Raw genomic sequence first — 23,396 nt, forward strand, 5'->3', positions numbered from 1 at the left:
CCCCCTCCTCCCACCCCACGACGGGCCCCCGTGTGTGATGTTCCCCATCCTGTGTCCAAGTGTTCTCATTGTTCAATTCCCACCTATGAGTGAGAACATGGGGTGTTTGGTTTTCTGTCCTTGCGATAGTTTGCTGAGAATAATGGTTTCCAGCTTCATCCATGTCCCTACAAAGTCATGAACTCATCCTTTTTTATGGCTGCATAGTGTTCCATGGTGTATATATGCCACATTTTCTTAATGACTGGCATGCTTTAAACAGATCTTCAGAGGGAAGGTGCTGAGGGTGGATGGAGGGAAGACACAGAAGCTCAGCTGAAGAGGGAGAAAGTTGGCACCTGTAGGGCCAACTCTACTGGGAGGTTGACAGCGTTTGATGTGTCCCCAGGCATTTTCTGCTTCACTGCTTCTCATGATTGGCTGTGATATGACTGGCCAGTACCCAAACTCTAGAATAAGCTAGAGAAACTCTAGGAAAAAACTTTAGATTTAAGGTTTCCATTTCTATGGATTTGGGGCTTTGTCTTTTGTTTTTTGGGGTTTTTTTGAGTCAAGGTTTCACTCTGTTGCCCAGGCTGGAGTGCAATGGCGAGATCTCAGCTCGCTTCAACTTCAACCTCCCAGGCTCAAGTGCTTCTCCCATCTCAGCCTCCCAAGTAGCTGGGGGTTTTTTTGAGTCAAGGTTTCACTCTGTTGCCCAGGCTGGAGTGCAATGGCAAGATCTCGGCTCACTTCAACTTCAACCTCCCAGGCTCAAGTGCTTCTCCCACCTCAGCCTCCCGAGTAGCTGGGACTACAGGCACTCCTCACCATGCCCAGCTATTTGTATTTTTTGTAGAGATAGTTTTGCCATGTTGCCCAGGCTGGTCTCAAACTCCTGAATTCAAGCAATCCACCCACCTCAGCCTCCCAAAGTGCTAGGATTTTGGGGGGTTTTTTTGAGTCAAGGTCTCACTCTGTTGCCCAGACTGGAGTGCAATGGTGAGATCTCGGCTCACTTGAACTTCAGCCTCCCAGGCTCAAGTTGCTGCGTGTGGTATGAGCCACCACACCCAACCAGGTCTCCATTTCTTTCCCACAGCAACCTCCCATATTATTCATTTAAAAAAATTTCTCATTAACTTTAAAGGACATATTATATGGTAACATAGTTACTGTGGCTTAACAGCCATCAGGACATCATAAATCAGTCTCCTGAAATGCACATTCTAGAGGATTATATTGAGTGCATATCTATAAACACATAGCCACAACAAAACAGACTCTCTGAGCTTGAGTACTTAAAACACAATGGAGGAATTTGGAGGCCATTCCAATGAGAAAATTACAAAATTTTATATCTCCCACTTCCTGAGGTGATAACATTCCCATTAATACCTGCAACAGCAATGTTGGCCTTCCCATACTCTACAGACAAAATTGAAAACTAAAGTCTCTGTTCAATTGATTCAAGATAATTATTAAATTTTAAAATGAAGCAGTTTAATCTGTTTAAAAATAGAAGCTCCAGGATAGACCTTTAAATTAAAATATATTTTTGTCCTTGTAAAGAAAACTTTACAAAAAAAGTTGTATTTATTATAGAATTAAAATGGTATGAATTAGCAATATTATATTTTAGAAAAATAAAAAGAATTGAAATCGATCATGTTTGTTTCTGAGCCTGTCTTATAGAATTTCTCACTTTATTTCTCAAGTTGTAAGAATATGTTCATGTTGCAAGGCAGTTAGTAGACAACTGGCTGCTTGGGGACAGGACTTCTGTCTTATCCATCTTTATAGTCCATAGAGCCAAAACCTGGAGTATGACATCCAATAAATAGCTACTGATTAACAAATGGTGCTTCACAGAATATTAACCTAGATTCTCCAAAATTTGAGACATCTCATACAATTTAGAAAAGTACACAGGCATGAGAATGGGTTTACACAGCTTAATATAATTACAAACAAGTACTATACCATAAGTCTTATTAATTCAAACACTGGCCAGGCGCGGTGGCTCACGTCTGTAATCCCAGCACTTTGGGAGGCCGAGGCAGGCAGATCAAGACGTCAGGAGTTCAAGACCAGCCTAGCCAATATGGTGAAACCCCATCTCTACTAAAAATACAAAAATTAGCTAAGCGTGGTGGCACACACCTGTTATCCCAGCTACTCGGGAGGCTGAGGCAGGAGAATCACTTGAACTCAGGAGGTGGAGGTTGCAGTGTGCCAAGATCGCGCCATTGCACTCCAGCCTGGGTGACAGAGCAAGACTCCGTCTCAAAAACAGAAATTCAAACACCACATGTGAATATTAGATTAATGATCTGGAGCAGCAAAATAGAGAATAAAATGTGTTAACACTGAAACACAAGAAGTGGATTGCGTCAAATTGAAAAGATGTAAAGCTTTTGGTTTGGAAAACTCATTACCTTACTCATTTCAGCTACAAGTGAAAAGGCATATTTTCCAAAGGCACAAGTAACAGCAAACAGATTCCCACTGATGGGTTTTTTGCTCTCAACACAAAATTATACAAATACTTAAAACCTGAGACAGTCAACAAATTGAATAATTCAGGCAAAAGATTACATACAGTGCCAATTTTCTTTCAGAACCAGAGGAAAAAGTAAATTACATAGTTTGGGTTTTTTTGGTTTTTTGATTTTTGTTTTGACTTTCATCTGAGCCTTTGACTTTTAAAAGATCATTTTGACCAGTATTATTTTTACAATGCTGTTAACATGCTACTGTTTTGCTTGTTTTCCTTTTTTTCTCTCTGTGAATCAAAGGTATTATTAGGCTGTTCTTCCTAAAGAGGAAATTGTGATAATGAAGCTGGAGAGAAAAAATTTGAGCCACAAGCCCTTTTGATGTGACTGTTTGACTCTCACTTGCTGTATGTATTAATATGGCATAAACATATAAGTTTTGGGGGCATTTGTCACCTGGGGGATATTGCAGGATTCATTTAGGAGAGAGGGTCAGGAGTCTTGCCAAGACATCTTTGAAAAAGGAAATCTAGGACTGTACCCAAAGGAGAGTGAAACAGTCACTGTTCCATTACTGCTTTCAGAAGCCTAGTTCTGCAGATGACTGAGTTTGCTCTTTCTGGGAGGAACCCAATACATCCTAGGGAAAGAATCATCTAAAGATGGAATGAGGAGGAAGGGAAGGAAATCAGGGAAAAGAGAAGAAGAGAATCCATTCTTATATTCGAGCTACTTTTCTCTCTCTAGAATTGTGCAAGTCTTTACTAGAATGCTGACAACCAAACAAGCATGCAACGATTACTTAAATGTTGCACTCATTCTTGCTTAGATGTTGCTGTTAGCCAGAAGCCCATGTCTGAATCTCATAATTGTTCTTTCAGAATAAAGGATATGATTTAATATATAGAGGAGAGAAACCAACTGGACCTGAACAATGGGGGTCTAACACTAGTGTCCACCAGAGCACATGGGAATGGCGTCTAGAGGTCATGACTACAGTGACTTTTGGAATATCACTAAGACCTTGAGAAGCAGCTTAGGCAGACTTCAGACCCTCCAAGGTACCAACAAAATATTTTTTTCCTCTACAGCAGGTGCCCATAATCAGAATCCAAAGAACCAATGGCCCCTACATAAAATTTAGGCTGTCTATGAACTTGTATGGGGAAAAAATAACATCTCCATTTCCAATAACACCCAACTGAAATTTAGTATAATTAAATTGCCAATGTAGGCAACAACTATAGAAAAAATTAGAAATCAGATATTTCCATCAATATAGAGTTGTTACAAACATTTCAAGATATTATTTATGCTCATCCCTATTATAAAATAATGGTTATAGGTCGAGCACAGAGGCTCACGCCTGTATTCCCAGCACTTTGGGAGGCTGAGGCAGGCGGATCACTCAAGGTCAGGAGTTTGAGACCAGCCTGGCCAACATCCTTAACGGGTAAGAGATTTACCAGATTTCAGATATCTAATTAGACTCCCTTTCTCAAACTCTCCTCTAAGATAGTTGCCTGATGAGTAGTAATCCAGGTAAAACTCCAAGGCCTGCTCTGATCCTCTTAGCTGCATATTCTTTTTTTTTTCTTTTTTTTTTTTCTTTTTTAGATGGAGTTTTGCTGTTTCACCCAGGCTGGAGTGAAGTGGTGCGATCTCGGCTCACTGCAACCTCCGCCCCCAGGTTCAAGTGATTCTCCTGCCTCAGCCTCCCGAGTAGCTGGGATTACATGTGTTTGCCACCATGCCTGGATAATTTTTGTATTTTTAGTAGAGACAAGGTTTCACCATGTTGGTCAGGCTGGTCCCGAACTCTTGACCTCAGGTGATCCACCTGCCTCGGCCTCCCAAAGTGCTAGGATTACAGGTGTGAGCCACCGTGCCTGGCCAGCTGTATATTCTTGTAGAGCTCATGTTAAAGCTAATGAAAACATCTCATGTTAAAAACATAAAACTAAGAAGAAAGAACAACCTAAGGGTTTTGAATTGGTGCGTAAGCTTTCTACACCCAGTAACTTTTGGGTATGAGTTTAGGGCATTTCGGTCCATGTCTAGTTATCAATGTAAATAAATCACTGCAATTTAGACAGCATCATGGTCATCATCCAAATCATTTTTTCTTCAGAAAGAAGACTATGTAGTTCACTGAGGGGGAAAAAGCTAGATATAAAGTGAATTCCCATTATTGGGGAAATGGTTGAAATAAATTATGGTATAATGACAACATGGAATACTATTTAGTCATTATAACAATAGATTAGAATTAAGCTATTGCCTTGAAGATACTAACTTGAAGTATTCTTGGATGGGAAAGATATTTTGTAAAAAAAAAAAAGTAATAAAAACAATGACCCAAATCCTCTATGTGAATATTATCCTGTGTACATGTATGTGTATATGTTCATATAAGATTGTAAGAGGATGGAGAAAACTATAAAATCATACATATTTGGCTATTAGGTTCTTCTTAGGCAGAGGAAAGGAGAAGAAATGAAGGAATTTATGCAAAAATGGGAAATAAAAACTTCAATTACAAATAACATATATATCATAATCACATTCATACATTATATAAAAGAGAAAAATCAATTCCCCATATTGAAGGAAATGAAAAAGAAGAAATCAGAGTGAATAAATAAGGTAAAAACAATTGAGGAGTAGGAAATAATCCCAGAACAGCAAAGTAAGATCCTCCAAAAATCTACTCCTCCACAAAAGCAGTGAAAACACTGGGAAAAAAAACTGTCAAAGTTAATTTTTTTTTACTAGAGAGCATCTGGAAAGATGGTGGGATAGGAAACACCAGCAATCTGTCTCCCCACCTAGACAACAATTGCACTGGCAGAATCTGTCTGATATAACTATTTTGGAACTCTGGATTCTATTGAATGTTTGAAAGTTTCAGAGGTGGGACAGAGCAGTTAAAGGAACAGAGTTTTTGTTTGTTATTGAAGTTAAACTGGTATAAATTCAAGTTAGAGTGCTGTAACTTTAAGATGTTAAATATGATGCCAATGGTAACCATAAATAAAATAGCTATCGAATATATATATATCCTTTGAGATTTTATATATATATATATGACAAAGGAAATGAAAAAGGAATTTAAACGTTTCAATATTAAAAAAAAAACTAAACACAAAAGAAGGCAGTAATCCAGGAAATGAGGGATGAAAAAAAGCTACAAGGTATATAAAAAACAAATAGCAAAATGACAGAAGTAGGTCTTCATCAGTAATTACTTTAAATATTAATGGATTAAATTTTTTCAATCAAAAGACAGAGATTGGCAGAATGGGTTAAAAAAACCATAATCCAACTATATGCTGTCTACCACAGACTCACTTTAGATTCAAAGACACAAATAGGTTGTAAGTGAAAGGATACATAAAAATATTCCCTGCAAATAATAACCAAAAGAAGAGAGTGGGATGACTCACTTATGATGGTTTGACTTTTATAATTTTTCAACTTTACAATTGTGCAAAAGTGACACACATTTAATAGAAACTGTATTTTGAGTACTCATATAACCATTCTGTTTTTCACTTTCAGTAAGGTGTACAATAAAATACACGAGCTGTCCAATATGTTATTATAAAATAGGGTTTGTATTAGATGGTTTGTCCAACTGTAGGCTAATGTAAATGTTCTGAGCACATTTAAGGTGAAGGCTAAGCTAAGCTACAATGTTCTATAGGTTCGATGTATTAAATGTATTTTTGACTTACAATAGTTTCAACTTACAATGGGTTTATAAGGATATAACTCCATAATAAGTTGAGGAGAATCAGTATCCACAAAATAGGCTTTAAATCAACAACGGTGGCTGGGCGCAGTGGCTAACTCCTGTGATCCCAGCACTTTGGGAGGCCAAGGTCAGGAGATCAAGACCATCCTAGCCAACATGGTGAAACCGTGTCTCTAGTAAAAATACAAAAATTAGCCAGGCATGGTGGCATGCGCCTGTAGTCCCAGCTACTCAGGAGGCTGAGGCAGGAGAATCGCGTGAACCTGGAAGGCAGAGGTTGCAGTGAGCCGAGATCATGCCACTGCACTCCAGCCTGGGCAACAGAGCAAGACTCCATCTCAAAAAAAGAAAAATAAATCAAAAATGGTTAGAAGAAATAAAGAAGGACATTTTATATTAATAAAAGGTTCAATATAAAAAGAAGATACAACAATTGTAAATATTTACACACCTAATGACAGACCGTCAAAATGTCTGACGCAAAAAATTGATAGAACTGAAAGAAGGCCAGGCGCAGTGGCTCATGACTGTAATCTCAGCACTTCGGGAGGCCAAGGTGGGCAGATCACTTGAGGTCAGGAGTTCAAGACCAGCCTGGCCAACGTGGCAAAACCCTGTCTCTACTAAAAATACAAAAATTAGCCAGGCATAGTGGCGTGTGCTTGTAATCCCAGCTACTCAGGAGACTGAGTCAGGAGAATCGCCTGAACCCAGGAGGCGAAGGTTGCAGTGAACTGAGATCGTGCCACTGCACTCCAGCCTGGGCAACAGAGCAAGACTCCATCTCAAGAAAAAAAAAAAAAAAGAAAGAAAGAAAAAAAGACAAGAAACAGACAAATCTACAATAATAGTTGGAGACTTGAATACCCCACTCTCAATAATGGATAGAACAACTAGACTGAAGACAAGTAAGGAAACAGAGAAATAACACAATTCCACTTCTAGGTATAAACCCAAGAGAACCAGAAACGTTTTCACACAAAAACTTGCACGTGAATATTCACAGAAGCATTATTGATAATAGTTTTAAAAAATGTATATGCAATCCTAATTTCCAACAATGGATGACTGGATAAAGAAAATGTGATAGAGCCATATGAAGGAATATTACTCAGCACTAAAAAGAAATGAAATACTGACACATGCTATATCACGGATGCATTCTGAAAACATCATGCAAAATAAAAGAAGGCAGATACAAAGGACCACATATTGTCTGTTGCTTTTTATATAAAAGTTTCAGAATAAGAAAATCCATAGAGATTGAAACTAGATTAGTTTTGGCCAGGAGCTGAGGGAAAGGGGAAATAAGGGACAGGGAATATGCCTTTTTTTTTTGCAATGATGAGAATATTCTAAAATTAGATAGTGGTGATGGTCTGAAATAGAAGATTCAGGATCCGGTTATCAAAGATGTGATAAGAGAACAGAACACTTTAAGCTTTCAGCACATCAATTTACTCTCTTGTCACTTTAACTCCTCATCAGAGTTACTAGGTTATTTTATTGTGTTCCATATTATCTTTTACCCAAAAGATCTTGGTTGGCAAAAGTTTCCCCTTTCCTTAAAGTTAAATATATATTTAAATAGTTATAAAATACATAAGGAAAAAATGGTGAAAATAAAAACCCAGATATAGAATACAACCTAAAAAAAGTCCTTGCTGAAACATAGTATGAACATTAACTATGGGCCTTTTCCTTTTTCACATTATAATTTGTTTTCAAAATGTAACTAATGTTAACTCCAGAAGTACCAGATGTCACATAAAGCTTATTTCACTTTCACAAAACCTAACTGTACTACATAGTGTAATATGGGGGTATTCTGGTTAAAGCTTTACAAAATGCAGGATTCTATGTCTTGGCATGACATGAAGAACCCCCAAGAAAAATGTCTTAGGGAAAGACTATTTCTTGGTATTTTCCTACCCAGGATATTTGGGTAGAATAGAATGAATGTCTGGCCATTGTATTTTTGGACTGAAGTATATTTAAATAGCTTTTACATATGCCAGGAATTGAAAATAACATCTTAATTTGAGCATAATAAAAGAGGAGGATAAAAATAAACTCTCTGCTCAGTGTTAATACAGATCTAAGACATTAAATGATATTTTAAGTAAAACTGGTGAAATAAACATCAAGTCATAGAAGTGTGATCAGGCACTTCTAGCAAAAGTGATAAATCATATATTAAAATTTAAAATGACTATAGTTCATTTATTTATTCATTCAGCTAATATTTTATTACACATTGACTATACAGCAATAAAAACAACAACAAAATAATCTACTCTTTCTTCTCTCCCAGAACTTAAAATTTGTTTAATAATGTTACGGCAAAGAAAACAATAAGATTAAATGATGATGAAAAACTTGAAAGAGCACTGATCTTGGAGTCCTAAGATCTGAATCAAAATTTCATGTCTACTAATTACTAGGCAAGTGATACTGGATACATCAACTAATTTCTCTAAGCCTCAAATTCACACCGTGAAAAATGGGGTATGCTACTACCTGTCTGGTGTATTTCATCAGTTAATTATAAGGATCACAGAGAAAATATTCAAACATTCCCTAAAAACTCTAAAAGTTCTATAATCACAGGCTTGCATTATTACTGAAATGTATGGAAAGCTATCCAATTTCTTGCAATAAATAATTTTAGTTGATATTAACAGTATACTGAGAGTCTATGTGGCCAGACAGGAAAGACTAATGCTAACTGTCAAGTACATTAACAATATAAAATGACACATATGCTAGGGTTTTGGCCTTTCTCCATTTAGCCATTCTAATTTGACCTGGATTTCCTCTACATGTCAATTTATGCTCATATTCACAAGCAATGTTCCAATCATAGGAAGAGCAAATGAGTCAGACAGACTTCTATCAAACTTCCAATCTGAGCAACAACAGCCACATGTTTCTTTACTCTTCAGGACATGTATTTGTCAATCCTGTTTGAATCTTAACAAATAATGGAACTTTCAAAATAAAGACAAATGCACTTAGTAGAAGAAAATAACAATTACTGTAATTGCAACCACATTAACTTGACTGAGTTTTTGTTTAAATTACTTCTGTACTTCTATGAAAAACACTGTTCTTAAGAATAATGAAGTGCTTAAGACATGACTGAAAAATAAAACCTCACAATTAAACCCATGAGGAAAATAAATTTAACTTGGCATAATTCTGGTTTGCAAAAATACTGTCAGGTAATGAACCCAAATCCATATGAATCACTGGTAAACACTATGCACAACAAACAGTTAATACCTATAGGTGCTCTGTGAAACAGTGGAATCCAAACTGTCTGTCTCTTTTGGGTTGGAGAAATAGAATAATCCTGCTTTTCCTCAAACACTGGCAAACATATACTATGATAGCTAAAAGTCAACTTAATCCTTCCTTTCCTGGCTCAAAATAAAAATAAATACGCCATCTCAGACTTAAGATGTGATATCCCTTTGTGGGTTTTCATGAAAGAGAGAGAAACACACAAGAAAATGATCATGGTTGGATGGGCTTTGTGTAATTTTCAATCACATAACCTTGTTTTAGAAAGTAGAAATGAAGAGCCAAGACAACTATGGAGAAAATTCTGGCAGTGGCTGTACTGTGCTCTGATTATTTTTTATTAGCATTGGTTGTATCACACCCAAAGCTTCTTGGCATTTTCCATACAAATCCACTCCCACCGAGTATTCTGTATTCCGGAAGGGCAGTAACTTTATCAAAAGGTAGAGTCACATTCCAGAGCATATCATCTGTCACCTCTCACCAACTCACCACGCCCCATGTCCACACTTTCTGTCTTTTCTCTCTCCCAGCTCTTCTGGAATAACTAACAAATCCTTCCCTTTGCCCTCATGCAGAAGAGTTTGGCACATGCCATTTTTCTCAAGGTGTGATTTTTTTTTTTGTCATTCACCAACATGTAAAATAAATTTTACAGCCAATAATAGCAGGTGAAAAGGGAAGCAAGATGAAAAAAGGACACATGAATGTCTCAAAAGGAAATAGGGGGCTGGGTGCAGTGGCTCATGCCTGTAATCCCAGCACTTTGGGAGGCCGAGGCGGGTGGATCATGAGGTTAGGAGTTCAAGACCAGCCTGACTAACATGGTGAAACCCTGTCTCTACTAAAAATACAAAAATTAGCCAGGCATGGTGGCGCATGCCTGTAATCCCAGCTACTCAGGCGGCTGAGGCAGGAGAATCACTTGAACCCAGGAGGCAGAGATTGCAGTGAGCTGAGATTGTGCTACTGCATTCCAGACTAGGAGACAGAGAGACTCCATCTCAAAAAAAAAAAAAAAAAAAAAGGTAAATAGGGGGATAGCTCCCATTAAATCACTCAGCATCCTGTTATTGAATTGGTCCTCCTGCAAGGGACCAACCACAAAGTCAGTGACTTAACTTACTTATTAACTCAAAATAAGTAACTTAAAACTTCAAAAACTTCAAAGCTGAAGCGCAAACTTTCACAGATGAACCACTACAAAATCAATGCCACTATACTGGGGCAAGCAGCATAAATTTTCAGACCTCAGAAATATTGAATGGCATTGATACGTTTTCATTTCTTACTCAGTCCTACCTGAACATCTGGGCTAATGGCATTTCATGTTTAAGAATAGGGCACTCAGCAGGGCGCGGTGGCTCACGCCTGTAATCCTGGCACTTTGGGAGGCCGAGGCGGGCGGATCACTTGAGGTCAGGAGTTCGAGACCAGCCTGGCCAATATGGTGAAACCCCATCTCTACCAAAACTACAGAAAAAAAAATTAGCTGGGCGTGGTGGCGGGCGCCTGTAATCCCAGCCACTCAAGAGGCTGAGGCAGGAGAATTGCTTAAACCTGGGAGGCGGAGGTTGCAGTGAGGTCAGATTGCACCACTGCACTTCAGCCTGGGTGACAAGAGCAAAACTCCGCCTGAAAAACAACAACAACAACAACAACAAACAAAATAGGGCACTCAGCTACGCTTACCAGGAAACTGAGTGGAGATTTTCCTGTGTGACCGGCAAGTGATTGTGAACTAAAAGCATTGGTTGCCAAACTTAAAAACCTACCTGTGGGACATTAAAAGCCTCTAGCATGTATCACCTTTGGACTTACTTGTATTCCTGTGACTTTGGTCCCCTGGGAGAGAAGCATCCGTAGTCCAGGCTGGAACGTGTTGGTCGGGATGTGCAGTAGACACCACAGTGCTCTGGTTATAAATTGTATTTGTAAGAATAACATCGGACCCTTGGATTTCACCATCAGTGACCAAAGGTTCACTCCCATTTGATTTAAAATAGACCTTTTGTAATGTTCCTGAAAGACAAAAACAAACACAAAAAAAACCTATCTTTGAAACATTACTAGAAGTGTTTATTTTAAAAAACATTAAGAAAACTCTAGAGCTACTTTCCCTATGTCATTCTAACCAGGTAAACACAAAGACGAAGATGAAAGCCGTAATAGTGACCTCCTTCTTGGGGTCAACAACCACAAAACCAAGAGTTTCTCTTCTACCACAAATCACACAGCCCTGTGATGAAACATGGCTTTCTCAAGAGCTTACGGTTTAGAAACTGGGTCTCCTATCAAGGTTTCCTGGTGCTTCAAAAATGTAGGGTAATTCTACCTCACCTGAGACTCACCACACAATAAAATGTGGTGAATCTTACAGCATTCTCTTTCACTTCCTTAGTTTCTTAATCTCACCGGTCATTGTTTGCTACTCAGGACCCAGGACATGTGCTCTACCTCTCTCTGTATCTGTCATCAAAGGACACAATGGTGCTTGCCATCAGCTTTATATTTCCCACATTTTGCACTAATGTTCAGTAAACTATGCATCACACACAAATAAAAAATAAGAGGGCTCATACATTTATCAAAACTTGTATCATAGGAACCAAAAAAAAAAAAACCTCTAAAGCACAAACTAAAAGAAGAAACTAAATTATCTTCATCTTCGACCAGAAAATAAAAATGTAATTATATGAAATAAGAAATACTCATTTAAAAAATTTATTTCCATAGGTTATTGGGGAACAGGTGGTGTTTGGTAACGAGTAAGTTCCTTAGTGGTGATTTGTGAGATTTTGGTGCACCCATGCACCATGCAAAGTTTGGCACATGCCATGAGCAGTATACACTGCACCTAACTTGTAGACTTTTACCCCAACTCTCTTTCCACACTTTCCCCGAGTCCCCAAAGTTCATTGTGTCATTCTTATGCCTTTGCATCCTCATAGCTTAGCTCCCACTTATGAGTGAGAACATACGATGTTTGGTTTTCCATACTCATTAAACTAAGATTATCAACTGGCCACTTTCTCAAGGTATCCATTCATTGACAAAACAAAGAACCAAACCTAAGATTATTGAAAACCACCTTGCTTTGTCTTTAGGAAGAAACATTTGAAAACTTTGAAAGAGATCGTGTATTTTTAACTCAGTCAAAATAGACAGCAGATTGTGTTTCCAGAATATCGCACTGTACTTGAGCATGCCACGAAAATAAATGAATGTGATATTGACCCATCGATAGAAAGAGCCAAGGGAGATTTTCTTTTCTAAAAGCATTTACAGTGAATGCTCTAATTGGCTCTCACTTTTCTAAATAGTCCCAAGGACCATTAAAAATAAAAGAAACATAAATAAAATGTTTAATATCAGTCTATGGAAACAATTTCTCTACATATGCTTGACACTTGGAAAACATTAACTACAAATAAAAATAGAAAAGCAGCTGTTTCTAGCTAACTGAGATCAACAGTTTCCTCTGCCAAAAGATTGTAAATAAAACATTGAAGCATAAAAGCTAAATCATGATCATGTAATGCGGGTAACATGCTCTCCAAACCATCTGTGTGATCATGAGTAAAAGTCAAATGCAGTAGGTAAAATGAAGGAATTCATTTAATTGTTATTGATTTTCAAAATGATTTAGACTTTATCCTAATCAAAATAAATGTGATAGGTTTAATTACTATAGGAAATGTATTTCACACATACAGAATAATTAGTAATTAATCAATTACCTATAGTTTTCCTTACATCCATTTGTTAATTGCTCTCTTCCTTGCTTATTTTTGGCATAAAGAGATTTTTTCCATAAGGTGATATTTATGCTAATGTGGTTGTAATGAATATATAGGCCCATTAAGTTGATTTACTTATCTTGCTGAATCTATGAGTAGGCATCCAGTTCTGTCAACATACTTTTAGCAAATGCCAATTGTTCACGGTTGTACCCTGGAGTAATTCCCTTAAAATTAGTTCCTTCTCATATAAAATATTTGAACACTTGTTCCTAACTTTTTGGTAATAATTAGCCTTATTAATAATCTTTCCTTTGTCATTTTAATATTTCCTTTATCATTTTAACCAAACAGTGTTTAAAGTGTTCATAACATCTGGCTGGGCACAGAGACTCATGCCTGTAATCCCAGCACTTTGGGAGGCCGAGGCAGGTGGATCACCTGAGGTCAGGAGTTCTAGACCACCCTGACCCGCGTGAAACCCCGTCTCTACTAAAAATACAAAATAAAATTAGCTGGGCATGGTGGCGGGCACCTGTAATCTCAGCTACTAGGGAGGCTGTGGCAGGAGAATTGTTTGAACCCGGCAGGCAGAGGTTGCAGTGAGCCGAGTTTGCACCATTGCACTCCAGCCAGGGCAACAAGAGTGAAATTCTGTCTCAAAAATAAATAAATAAATAAATAAAAATAAAGTCTTCATAACATCTGTTTATCCTAAGAAGTCCTCTGAAACATTGACATTTTTAAGAAAACACTGACTTGGATAACAACTTTCTTTTAAAAAGGCAGCTTCATTGCTCTTAAGCTTTATGTATTGAAAGCAATTTGGCAGAATAAAAAGAAAGATAATATTTGAGAGGTACTGTAGTTAATGTTTTTAAAGTATATTTTGGGGGAAGAGAAACAGAATAAACTTAAAGGACATGTCTTTAAAAGCCTGAACTCACTGGACAACTTGTTTTCAAGTATCTCTGGAAGCTGACCAACTCCCAACACGGTTGTCTACTATGCATTTTCTTTTAAGCACAAGAATTAGAACTCAATAAAACTAAATGCTTTCAACCTGTATCATGATGAGCTATAAAAATGCTAAGAGGCCGGGCGCGGTGGCTCACGCCTGTAATCCCAGCACTTTGGGAGGCTGAGGCAGGCGCATCATGAGGTCAGGAAATAGAGACCGTCCTGGCTAACACAGTGAAACCCCGTCTCTACTAAAAATACAAAAAAAATTAGCCGGGTGTGGTGGCGGGCGCCTGTAGTCCCAGCTACTCGGGAGGCTGAGGCAGGAGAATGGCATGAACCCGGGAGGTGGAGGTTGCAGTGAGCTGAGATCGCGCCACTGCACTCCAGCCTGGGAGACAGAGCGAGACTCCGTCTCAAAAAAATAATAATAATACTGCTAAGAGATATTAGCCCAAAGTAGAGTATTTATTCTTCTAATACTGCCTCATTCTTTTCTACATTTCTATGTTTATTGTGCTATGGTTAAAAGTACAGGTTTAAATCCCATCTCTACCACTTGCCCTGAAACTTTGGACAAAGTCTTAACTGCCATAAAGGAAGGAAAAATAAAATACCTCTTCATGGGGCTGGCTGTGGTGAGACAGCCAAGTAAAAATGGCTCCCCGGCAGAACCCCCGACTGGCCTGCGCACTGGGAGGAGCGTGCACTGGGGTGGAGCCTCAGGAGGTTCACACCGTTTGCAGAGGTGAGGAGCCTGGCCTCTCCTGTTCCGGGGTGGTATTTGGGACTCAACTTGTGAGGCAGGAAACTGGCTAGCAGGACTGTCATTTTGCTGAGAGTCCCTGTTTCCCTTTTTTTTCCCCTTTTAGCCCGATAAATTCCAGTTTTCTCACCGTTCAAAGTGTCTGTGAGCCTAATCTTTCATGGCTGTGTAACAAGAGCCCAGCTTTTAGGTGAACTAAGGAGAAAGTCCTACAACATTGGGATCAAATCAGTCAATACCTATATAAACACTTCGAATGGCTTTTGGCACTAAGTTCTCCGTAACTGTTAGTCATTACTACACATTGATGGTAATGACAATAAAATTGTCTTCTTTAGGACTGCTAAGGTACTTTTAGATAAATATCAATTTCATTTTACTATAAGTGGATCCCAGTGTCACAAAATGGCTAACTTTCAGAAGTGAATCACTTAACCCACATTTGGAGTGAGAAAACTATGGCTTTTTCGTGCTAAATTATTAATAGAAAGTCACATTGTATTAAGATAGTCTGGCTCAAAAGTGTTTCAGCTCTATAGCCAAAAAAAATGTAATGATATTTAAGAAATAGTATATAATTCTAATAATAATAATAGTCAAACTTTACTGATTCCTTGTAATGAAGAGATTGGGCACTGTGGTAGACAGAATAATGCTCCCCCAGAGATGCCACATCCCAATTCCTAGAACCTGTGAATATTCTGCTTTACATACTTTACGTGGTAAAAGGGATGTTGCAGATGTGATTGAAGTAAAAATTTTGAGATGAAGAGACTATCCTGGATTATTCAGGTGAGCCCAATGTAATCACAAGGGTCTTTATAAGCAGAAGAGGGAGATAAGAGAGTATGTGTCAGGGTCATGAACTGTGAGAAAAACTCAATGGACCATTGCTTGTTTTGAAGATGGAAAGAGCCACAAGCCAAGGAATGCAGGAAGCCCTAGAAGCTAGAAAAAGCAAGAGAATAGATTGTCCCATAGAGTCTGCAGAAGGAACACCTAAATTTTGCCCAGTGAGACCTATTTTGAACTTCTTAACTCTAAGATAATAAATTTGTACTATCTTTTTAAGCTACCAAGTTTGTGGTAATTTGTTACAGGAGCAATAAAAAATTAATACAAGCACCTTGCTAAGTTCCCTCACTATAGGCATCAACTGAGTTAACCTTCCAATAATCCTATAAAACAGATAATATAATTAATCGTTTGACAGAGTTTTAGAGAGATGGAAACTGAAGTTTATGAGAGTGAATTAGCTTGCTCAAGATTTGAGTTGGGACATGGCAAATAGACATATACATATACACACACTTTTCATTCTGGACAAAACATACAGGTTTTAAAAGTCAACCATTATGTGCTTGCAGAATTTATCTTCCTATAATGTGATTTTAAAATTAATTTCTTAGCTTTGTATCTTTAGCCATGTGAAACACATTTACTTTGCATTTTCTATGTGCCAAGAACTTCATACTTACTCTGCTGAGAACACAATATTTAGTAAGAGGTCCTTACTATCAAGATGTTTATAGATTAGTTGAGGGAGACGGGCAGGCAATCTAAAAAATATTAATATAAACTATGGTACAAGTGCTTTGAGAATGATATGCCTAGGACAATCTGGTAGCAAAAAGTAGAGAGATAGTCCTCATTCCATTTGAAAAAGTCAGGAAAGCCTGTTTAGAGACGAGTATCCTAAATGTGAATCTTAAAAGATGATTAGGGATTTTCTAGGTTTAAGCAAAGTATTTGTGGGGAGGAGAGTGGCGTGGCAAGAGGAAGTGAAACATTTTCTAGATAAAGCCAAGGGAAAAACATATGAAAAGGCCCAGCAGCAAGTAATTTAAAAACATGGCTAGTACACAGGAGCCTGGTAAGAGAAAAGACTGAAAAGGGAAGAGACACCAGACAGGATAGGTCTTGTACAAGGCTTGGAATTTACCTTGTGATAGAAAATTTTAGAAAGGTCTTAAATAGGGTGAAACATATTAGAATGATCACTTTGGCAGCAGGGTGACGTTTAAAAGTTTAGAGGGTAGTTAGAAGGCTATTGTAATACTCCAAGTGAGAAAAGAGTAAGGCCTTAGCCAACGCAAAAACCCTATGGACAAAGGGAACATTAGGAGAAAGCTCCAAAGATGCAAAATCATATGAACATGAGAGAAAGGTCCCTTCGAGGTCTCTGGTTTGAATAATGTAGTAAACAAACATATCCCCAACTGAATTGGTGTCATATCGTTAGTGTTGTTCATCAAATATTTCCAGTTCTCTCTCCTTCTACTGGGGCATAAGCTGAGCATTGCATTCTCTGGCCTCTTGAGTGAGGCCTTGCTTCAAGTTCAAGGCTATAAGCAAAACTAAAAAGTGTTGCTTCTAGGCAGAAGCATTTAATTGCTGATGTAAGAGCCTTCAGAGCTCTGACACAATCATCACAAAGGCTCAAGATGGTGGCTAGTTCATCAATTTGGACCCTGAAGGACCTCGATGAGCACAGGCCCCCTGCCATCTTGCAAAGGACATGTAGTATTGTAATAAATTAACTATTGTTGTTTGTAAATCACCAGTATTGGGGGATTTGCTGTTGTTACATGACAGAGTCTAGCCAATCTTGACTAAAACAATAGATAACAGAGAATGAAAAATAGATTTGTAGAAGCCTGTTGTTGTTGTTGTTGTTGTTGTTACACTTTATTGAATATAAAGGGCCTGTGAAACATTCAGGGGGGAAAAAGCCCAAATCTGAAGCAATCTGATGATTTCCTCCAGATGCCTCACCAGACTCCCCCACAATGCTGTCCCTCCTTTGTGTTCCCAGAGCACGCACTGGTTATATTGTAGCACATATGCACTCAAGTGGAACTGTCTGTCCCATGCATCTATACATCAATCCCCGAGCAGAACACCTAGCACCAGTGTAGGGCTCCATAAATATTCGTTGAACGTATGAATGATGAATGGACTAATGGAAATGGCTGATATTGCCAAGAGGGGTATCAGTGTAAAGTGAGAAGACAGCTGAGGACAGACAGCTCTTTTTAATGCCATTTAATGGACAGTTAAAGAAAGGTTAGCTTAAGGAAAATGAGAAACAGCAGGCAGAGATACTGAAGGATAATCAGAGGTGACAATATGAAGGCATAGTTGAAGAGCATAATGAGATGAAAGTAGTACTCAACACTGAGGAAGATCATATGCGCATAGCACATCTGGGGAGAAGAAAGCATTGCTGGCACCAACTAACAATGAACATTCTTACCATGAATTGATGTACACAGACACAGAGAGAAACATAGGTTCTTCATTTCAAAGTCTCGTTCAAATACACATTGGTTTCCAATGCAGCACATTGGATAAAAAGACACTGGTGGGCTTGCTAAGTACAGATATAGGAGTATGAAAAGAAGTGAAAGAGATGATCAGAAGGGGACTGATAGAGGTATAGGAATCATCTGGGGTGGTTCTTGTTAGAATTCAAATTCAGCAGGTTTGGAGTGGGGACTGAGATTCTGGATTCTGCATTTTACACAAACTTCCAAGTGATGCTGATGCTGCTCGTCCATGGGCCACACTTGAGAACAAGGCTTTAGACTACCATTTCAAAAAGCTTTAGACATAACATATAACCTCGGGCCTCAGTAGTTAAAGAAAAAAAATTGTCATGCTTGAGAATCCTCCGCTGGTGAATCTGCAACAGAAAGCCAGATTTATTCAAAGAATTTGAAGTCTTAAGTAATGTGGAGTCAGGTCATGAAAGATCATAGAGAATCTTAAATTTTGGGTGTGAAGAAACAAGAATTTGGGAGGTTTTCTATTTTTAAGTGATACTAAGAATACATTATAAGTTAGGAAGTTAAGATTCTTTTAACTCCAAATTCTTGTAAAAGCCACAAACTGCTGAGAAATTTGCTAAGAGAAAACTGTATTTAAATTCAATGATCTCCAGTTCATCTAGCATTTTTGAGGAGAAAGGTCATTTCTGAAGAGAAATATTTTTATCGAATTCAAGAAAAATGAATGGTTTATTAAACTTTCTATAGTCTACATACCACTATAATTTTTCTTTTTTCCTCATTTACTCAAAAAATTAAGAAGCCACACATACATTTTCCATCATATTAAGAAAACTAGAAATGTAATTTTAAGCTAGTTTTCATAAGCTTATGGCTAAAATAAATTTGTTTTAGATATATATGGATGAGTGAATAAGCAGATGAATATTTAAAACCAAGTCTTCGACAGGCTGAGAAAGAAAAAGTCAGGAGAATTCTAATGAGAATTTTTGGAACATAACTTGGGTGAATAAATTGAGATGAAGAATAGTTTGAAAAAACTAATTCAGACCATACCCCATACATTTATAGGACTCCCTGCCACATACTCAGCTGTAACCCTTTCTCCATACAGCTGCCAATGACACCTTTTAAAGCTGAAACGCTTTCTCCATACAGCTGCCAATGACACCTTTTAAAAGTCCCAACCAAGATAATCATTTCCAAGACCTTGAAAGAGCTTTTTTTTCCGATGTTTTCTTCTAGGAGTTTTATGGTTTCCAGTTTTATGTTTTAGTCTTTAATCCATTTTGACTTGATTTTGGTATGATGGTATAAGATAAGGGTCCCATTTCATCCTTTTGGATGTGGATATGCAATTTTCCTAACACCATTTGTCAAAGAGAGTATTCTTTCCCCCTCGTGTACTCTTCACACCTTTGTTGAAGATCCAATGACCATATACATGTGGATTTATTTCTGGGCTCTATATTCTGTTCCATTGGTCTATATGTCTGTTTCTATTCTAGTGCTATACTGCTTTGATTGCTGTAGCCTCATAATATAGTTTGAAATCAGCACATTTGATGCCTCTATCTTTGTCGTTTCTGCTCAAAATCGCTTTGGGTATTTGGGATCTTTTGTGGCTCCAAATGAATTTTAGGATTGTTTTATCTGAAAAATGCCACTGGGATTTAGCTAGGGACTGCATTGAATCTATAGATCACTCTGGGTAGTATGGACATTTTAACAATATTAATTCCTCCAGTCAATGAATATTAAATGTCTTTTCATTTATTTGTGTCTGATTTAATTTCTTTTATCAGCATTTTATAGTTTTCAGTGTAAAAATATTTCCCTTCCTTAGTTATGTTTATTCCCAAGTACTTATTCTTGTTAATCCTATTAACAAGGATTTCTTAGACATGACATAAAAAGCACTGGCAACAAAGAAAAAAAAAAGACCAGCAGTGTTACATCAAACTGAAAACTTTGCACAGCAAAACAATCAACAGAGGTTGAGTGGACCTAAAAAATGAGAGAAATTATTTGTAAACCACATATTTGATCAAGAGTTAATATTCAAAATATGTAAAAATAAGAAACTCACAAATCAATAGCAAAAAAAAAGGTAACCTGATTTTTTTAACAGGCAACGGATCTGAATAGACATTTCTCCAAAGAAGACACATACGCAGAGCCAGTAGCCAGTAAGTATATGAGATGGTGCTCAAATCACTAGTCATTAGCGAAATGCAAATCAAAATGATAAAGAGATGTCACATCATGGTTGTTATGATGGCTATTACCAAAAACAAAAGATAACAGATGTTGGTGATAATGTGAAGAAATTGAAACCCTTGTACACTGTTAGTAGGAATGTAAATTGATGCAGCCACTATGGAAAACAGAATGGAAGGTCCTTCAAAAAAATTAAAAATAGAACTATCGCATGATCCAGCAATCCCACTTCTGGGTATACATCCAAAAAATTGAAATCAGGATCTCCTATCTGCACTCCCATGTTCCGTGCAGCATTATTCACAATAGCCAAGACATGGAAGCAGCCTAAATGTCCACTGATAGATGAATAAATTTTAAAAATGTGGCATACACACAATGGTATATCATTTGGCCTTAAAAAAGAAGAAAATCTTATCACTTGTGGCAACATGGATGAACCTGGGGGCCATTATGCTAAGGACAAATACTACATGATCACACTCATATGAGAAATCTAAAATAGATTCATAGAAGCAGAAAGCAGAATGGCGATTGCCAGAGGGGAAGAGGAAATAAGGCGATATCCAAGGGTATAAAGTTTCAGTAATATAAGATAAATAAGTTCTAGAGATGACTATACAACATAGTGACTATGGTTAATACTTCTTTGGGTACTTAAACATTTGTTAAAAGGGCAGATCTTATGCAAAATGTTCTTATCATGGAAAAAAATAATAAAGATGTGAGGAAACTTTTGGAGGTGATGGATATGTTTATTGCAGAAATTGTGGTGATGATTTCACAGGTATATACTTGTTTCCAAACTCATCAAGTTGTGATACATTAAATATGTGCAGCTTTTTGTATGCCAATCATACCTCATTAAAAGGGCTTAATGAATGAATAAATAAACAAATAAATAAATAAATGCTACAACCAGACCCTGTCACTCTCTTATATCAACATCCTTATTGTGGATTTCATGTTTAAAGTACTACTTACTCCCTAGGGAATCTTCCCTCATCTCAGCCCAGTTTCTGTCCCTGTCGTAAGTTCTCTTAGCACCTTGTCTCTTCCCACATAGCAGTAAACTCTGTTGTAATTACTTAATGAAGTGATCATTTGTTTCATGCCTTCTTCCCTCACTGTGGAGTCCCTGAGGGTAGGCTTTATTCACTGCTGTCCCCAATACCTATAGCACACTGTGTTGCATATAACAGACACTCAATACATATTTGTTAAAGGGGTGAATAGTATTACATTATAGCTAATTTTGTTTCTTTTAAATGTTTCTCAACATATCAAAATAATTTTACTTTAAATGTTGCATGATGATGTATATTTATAATATATAATATAATATATAATTATAATACATAATATTGTGAATTTATAATATAGTAAATAATTATATATGTATATGTAAAATTTGAGGAAGGTATCAGTTCAATCTCAAAGTACTCTATGGCATAAAGTGACACTTGTTGTCACATGAAGGCAGCACAAACCATTGCAGGTTTAGTTCTTATAAGAAAGAAATTAGTCTCTGAAAGTAAATCTCAGGCCTAAGAATAAAAGGCCTGTCAAACTTGCCATCACGTTACAAATCCAACTGTTGGTCAACTTTATTTCTTCCTAGCTACTTTTAGGCAATTCAAATATCTTGCAGCAACAGCCTGATTCTAGGGCTATGGGGTTATGGATCATGGGGTTACTATGACAACAGGTCATAGCACAAAGGTTTTAATTCTTATGGACAGAGTTAATGTGAGACAAAATGCATGTTTAGTTAATTGTTACTTGGGTATAATATGACTATTTATTAAAATAATTATCTGATGATAATTATTCATAATCAAATAAAACAAATTCTTTACTACTATAATGAACTTATCACTTATAAAAACACTTTCACAAACATTTCATTTGACTTCCATAACAATTCTGTGATACAAAAAAGAATTATCTCATGTAGAAAATAAAGCATCTTACCTAAACTCCCATGTCTAGTAAATGGAAGAGTAAAACCCTAAAGCCAGACTTTCTAGTGCCAAGTTGCATGCTCTTTCTTCTTTGTCATATGGACCATCAGTATCAGACTATAACTAATGAAATAAAAATCTACATATAATTTAACTTTCTTATTTTTCAATTTCTCTTTGAAGAACCTGAGTCCTTGTTTTAGAGTCCAAATCTTTGGAACCATATGGACAACTCAGACTATCTGCCGAGTTGAGAAATACAAAACTAAACAACCTTTGTAGCTCTAGCTTCAGTTTAGTGGTTGGGTTGAAAAACAATTTACTACTGCTTTCTTCTATAGCCTGCTGCTAATACAATTATTTGACAACCCACCTCTCGTATCTTCAGAAATCGTTTTACCATCTTGACTTTTTGCATGAGGGAAACCACAACAGACAAAATTAGAGACACGTAGTACATCTGTGTTTGTTAGCATAAGGCTTTTATCTTTTCTAATCAATAATCTTCTCATTATTATCTCCTTGGCTTTTGAAGCTAGAGCTCCTGTTATTTATACACCACTGATATCTCAGCATCCCTTAGCAACCCTAATGTACACAGAAATAACTACAAAACTTTGTATGAGCACAAAGTTATAAACTCAAACCAAACAGAGCATTTTTTAAAGTAAGCAATTTAATGAGGTTTTTAAAACAAAGATATAAAATGCTTGTATTGCTCATTACAACAACAAACATCTCAGTTACAAAATAAGGAATATTTATTTGGACAGATATTACTTCAATATGGCTATATTAAATCATCTGGTACAGAATTTATTAAAAGAATGTTTTTAATTTTTTTCTCTTTTTTATAAATTTCAACTTTTATTTTGGATTCAGGTACATGTGCAAGTTGTAACATGTGTATATTATG

The 23,396-nt window shown here is 37.1% G+C and overlaps 1 protein-coding gene across 3 annotated transcripts in view; it reads right to left on the reverse strand.

Moving 5' to 3' along the window:
- CORIN (corin, serine peptidase) overlaps positions 1-23,396 on the reverse strand; it is a 244,067-nt gene that overhangs the window by 181,363 nt on the left and 39,308 nt on the right. For 2 of the 3 annotated variants that reach the window (NM_006587.4, NM_001278586.2), the window contains exon 3: positions 11,362-11,562. The exons of the other annotated variant lie outside the window; for it this stretch is intronic. In NM_006587.4, coding sequence (NP_006578.2) covers positions 11,362-11,562 — 201 coding nt within the window. The remainder of the gene's footprint in view (positions 1-11,361; positions 11,563-23,396) is intronic. 3 annotated transcript variants of the gene reach the window in all.

Source organism: Homo sapiens, chromosome 4, assembly GCF_000001405.40.
Source record: "Homo sapiens chromosome 4, GRCh38.p14 Primary Assembly".
Taxonomy (NCBI): domain Eukaryota; kingdom Metazoa; phylum Chordata; class Mammalia; order Primates; family Hominidae; genus Homo; species Homo sapiens.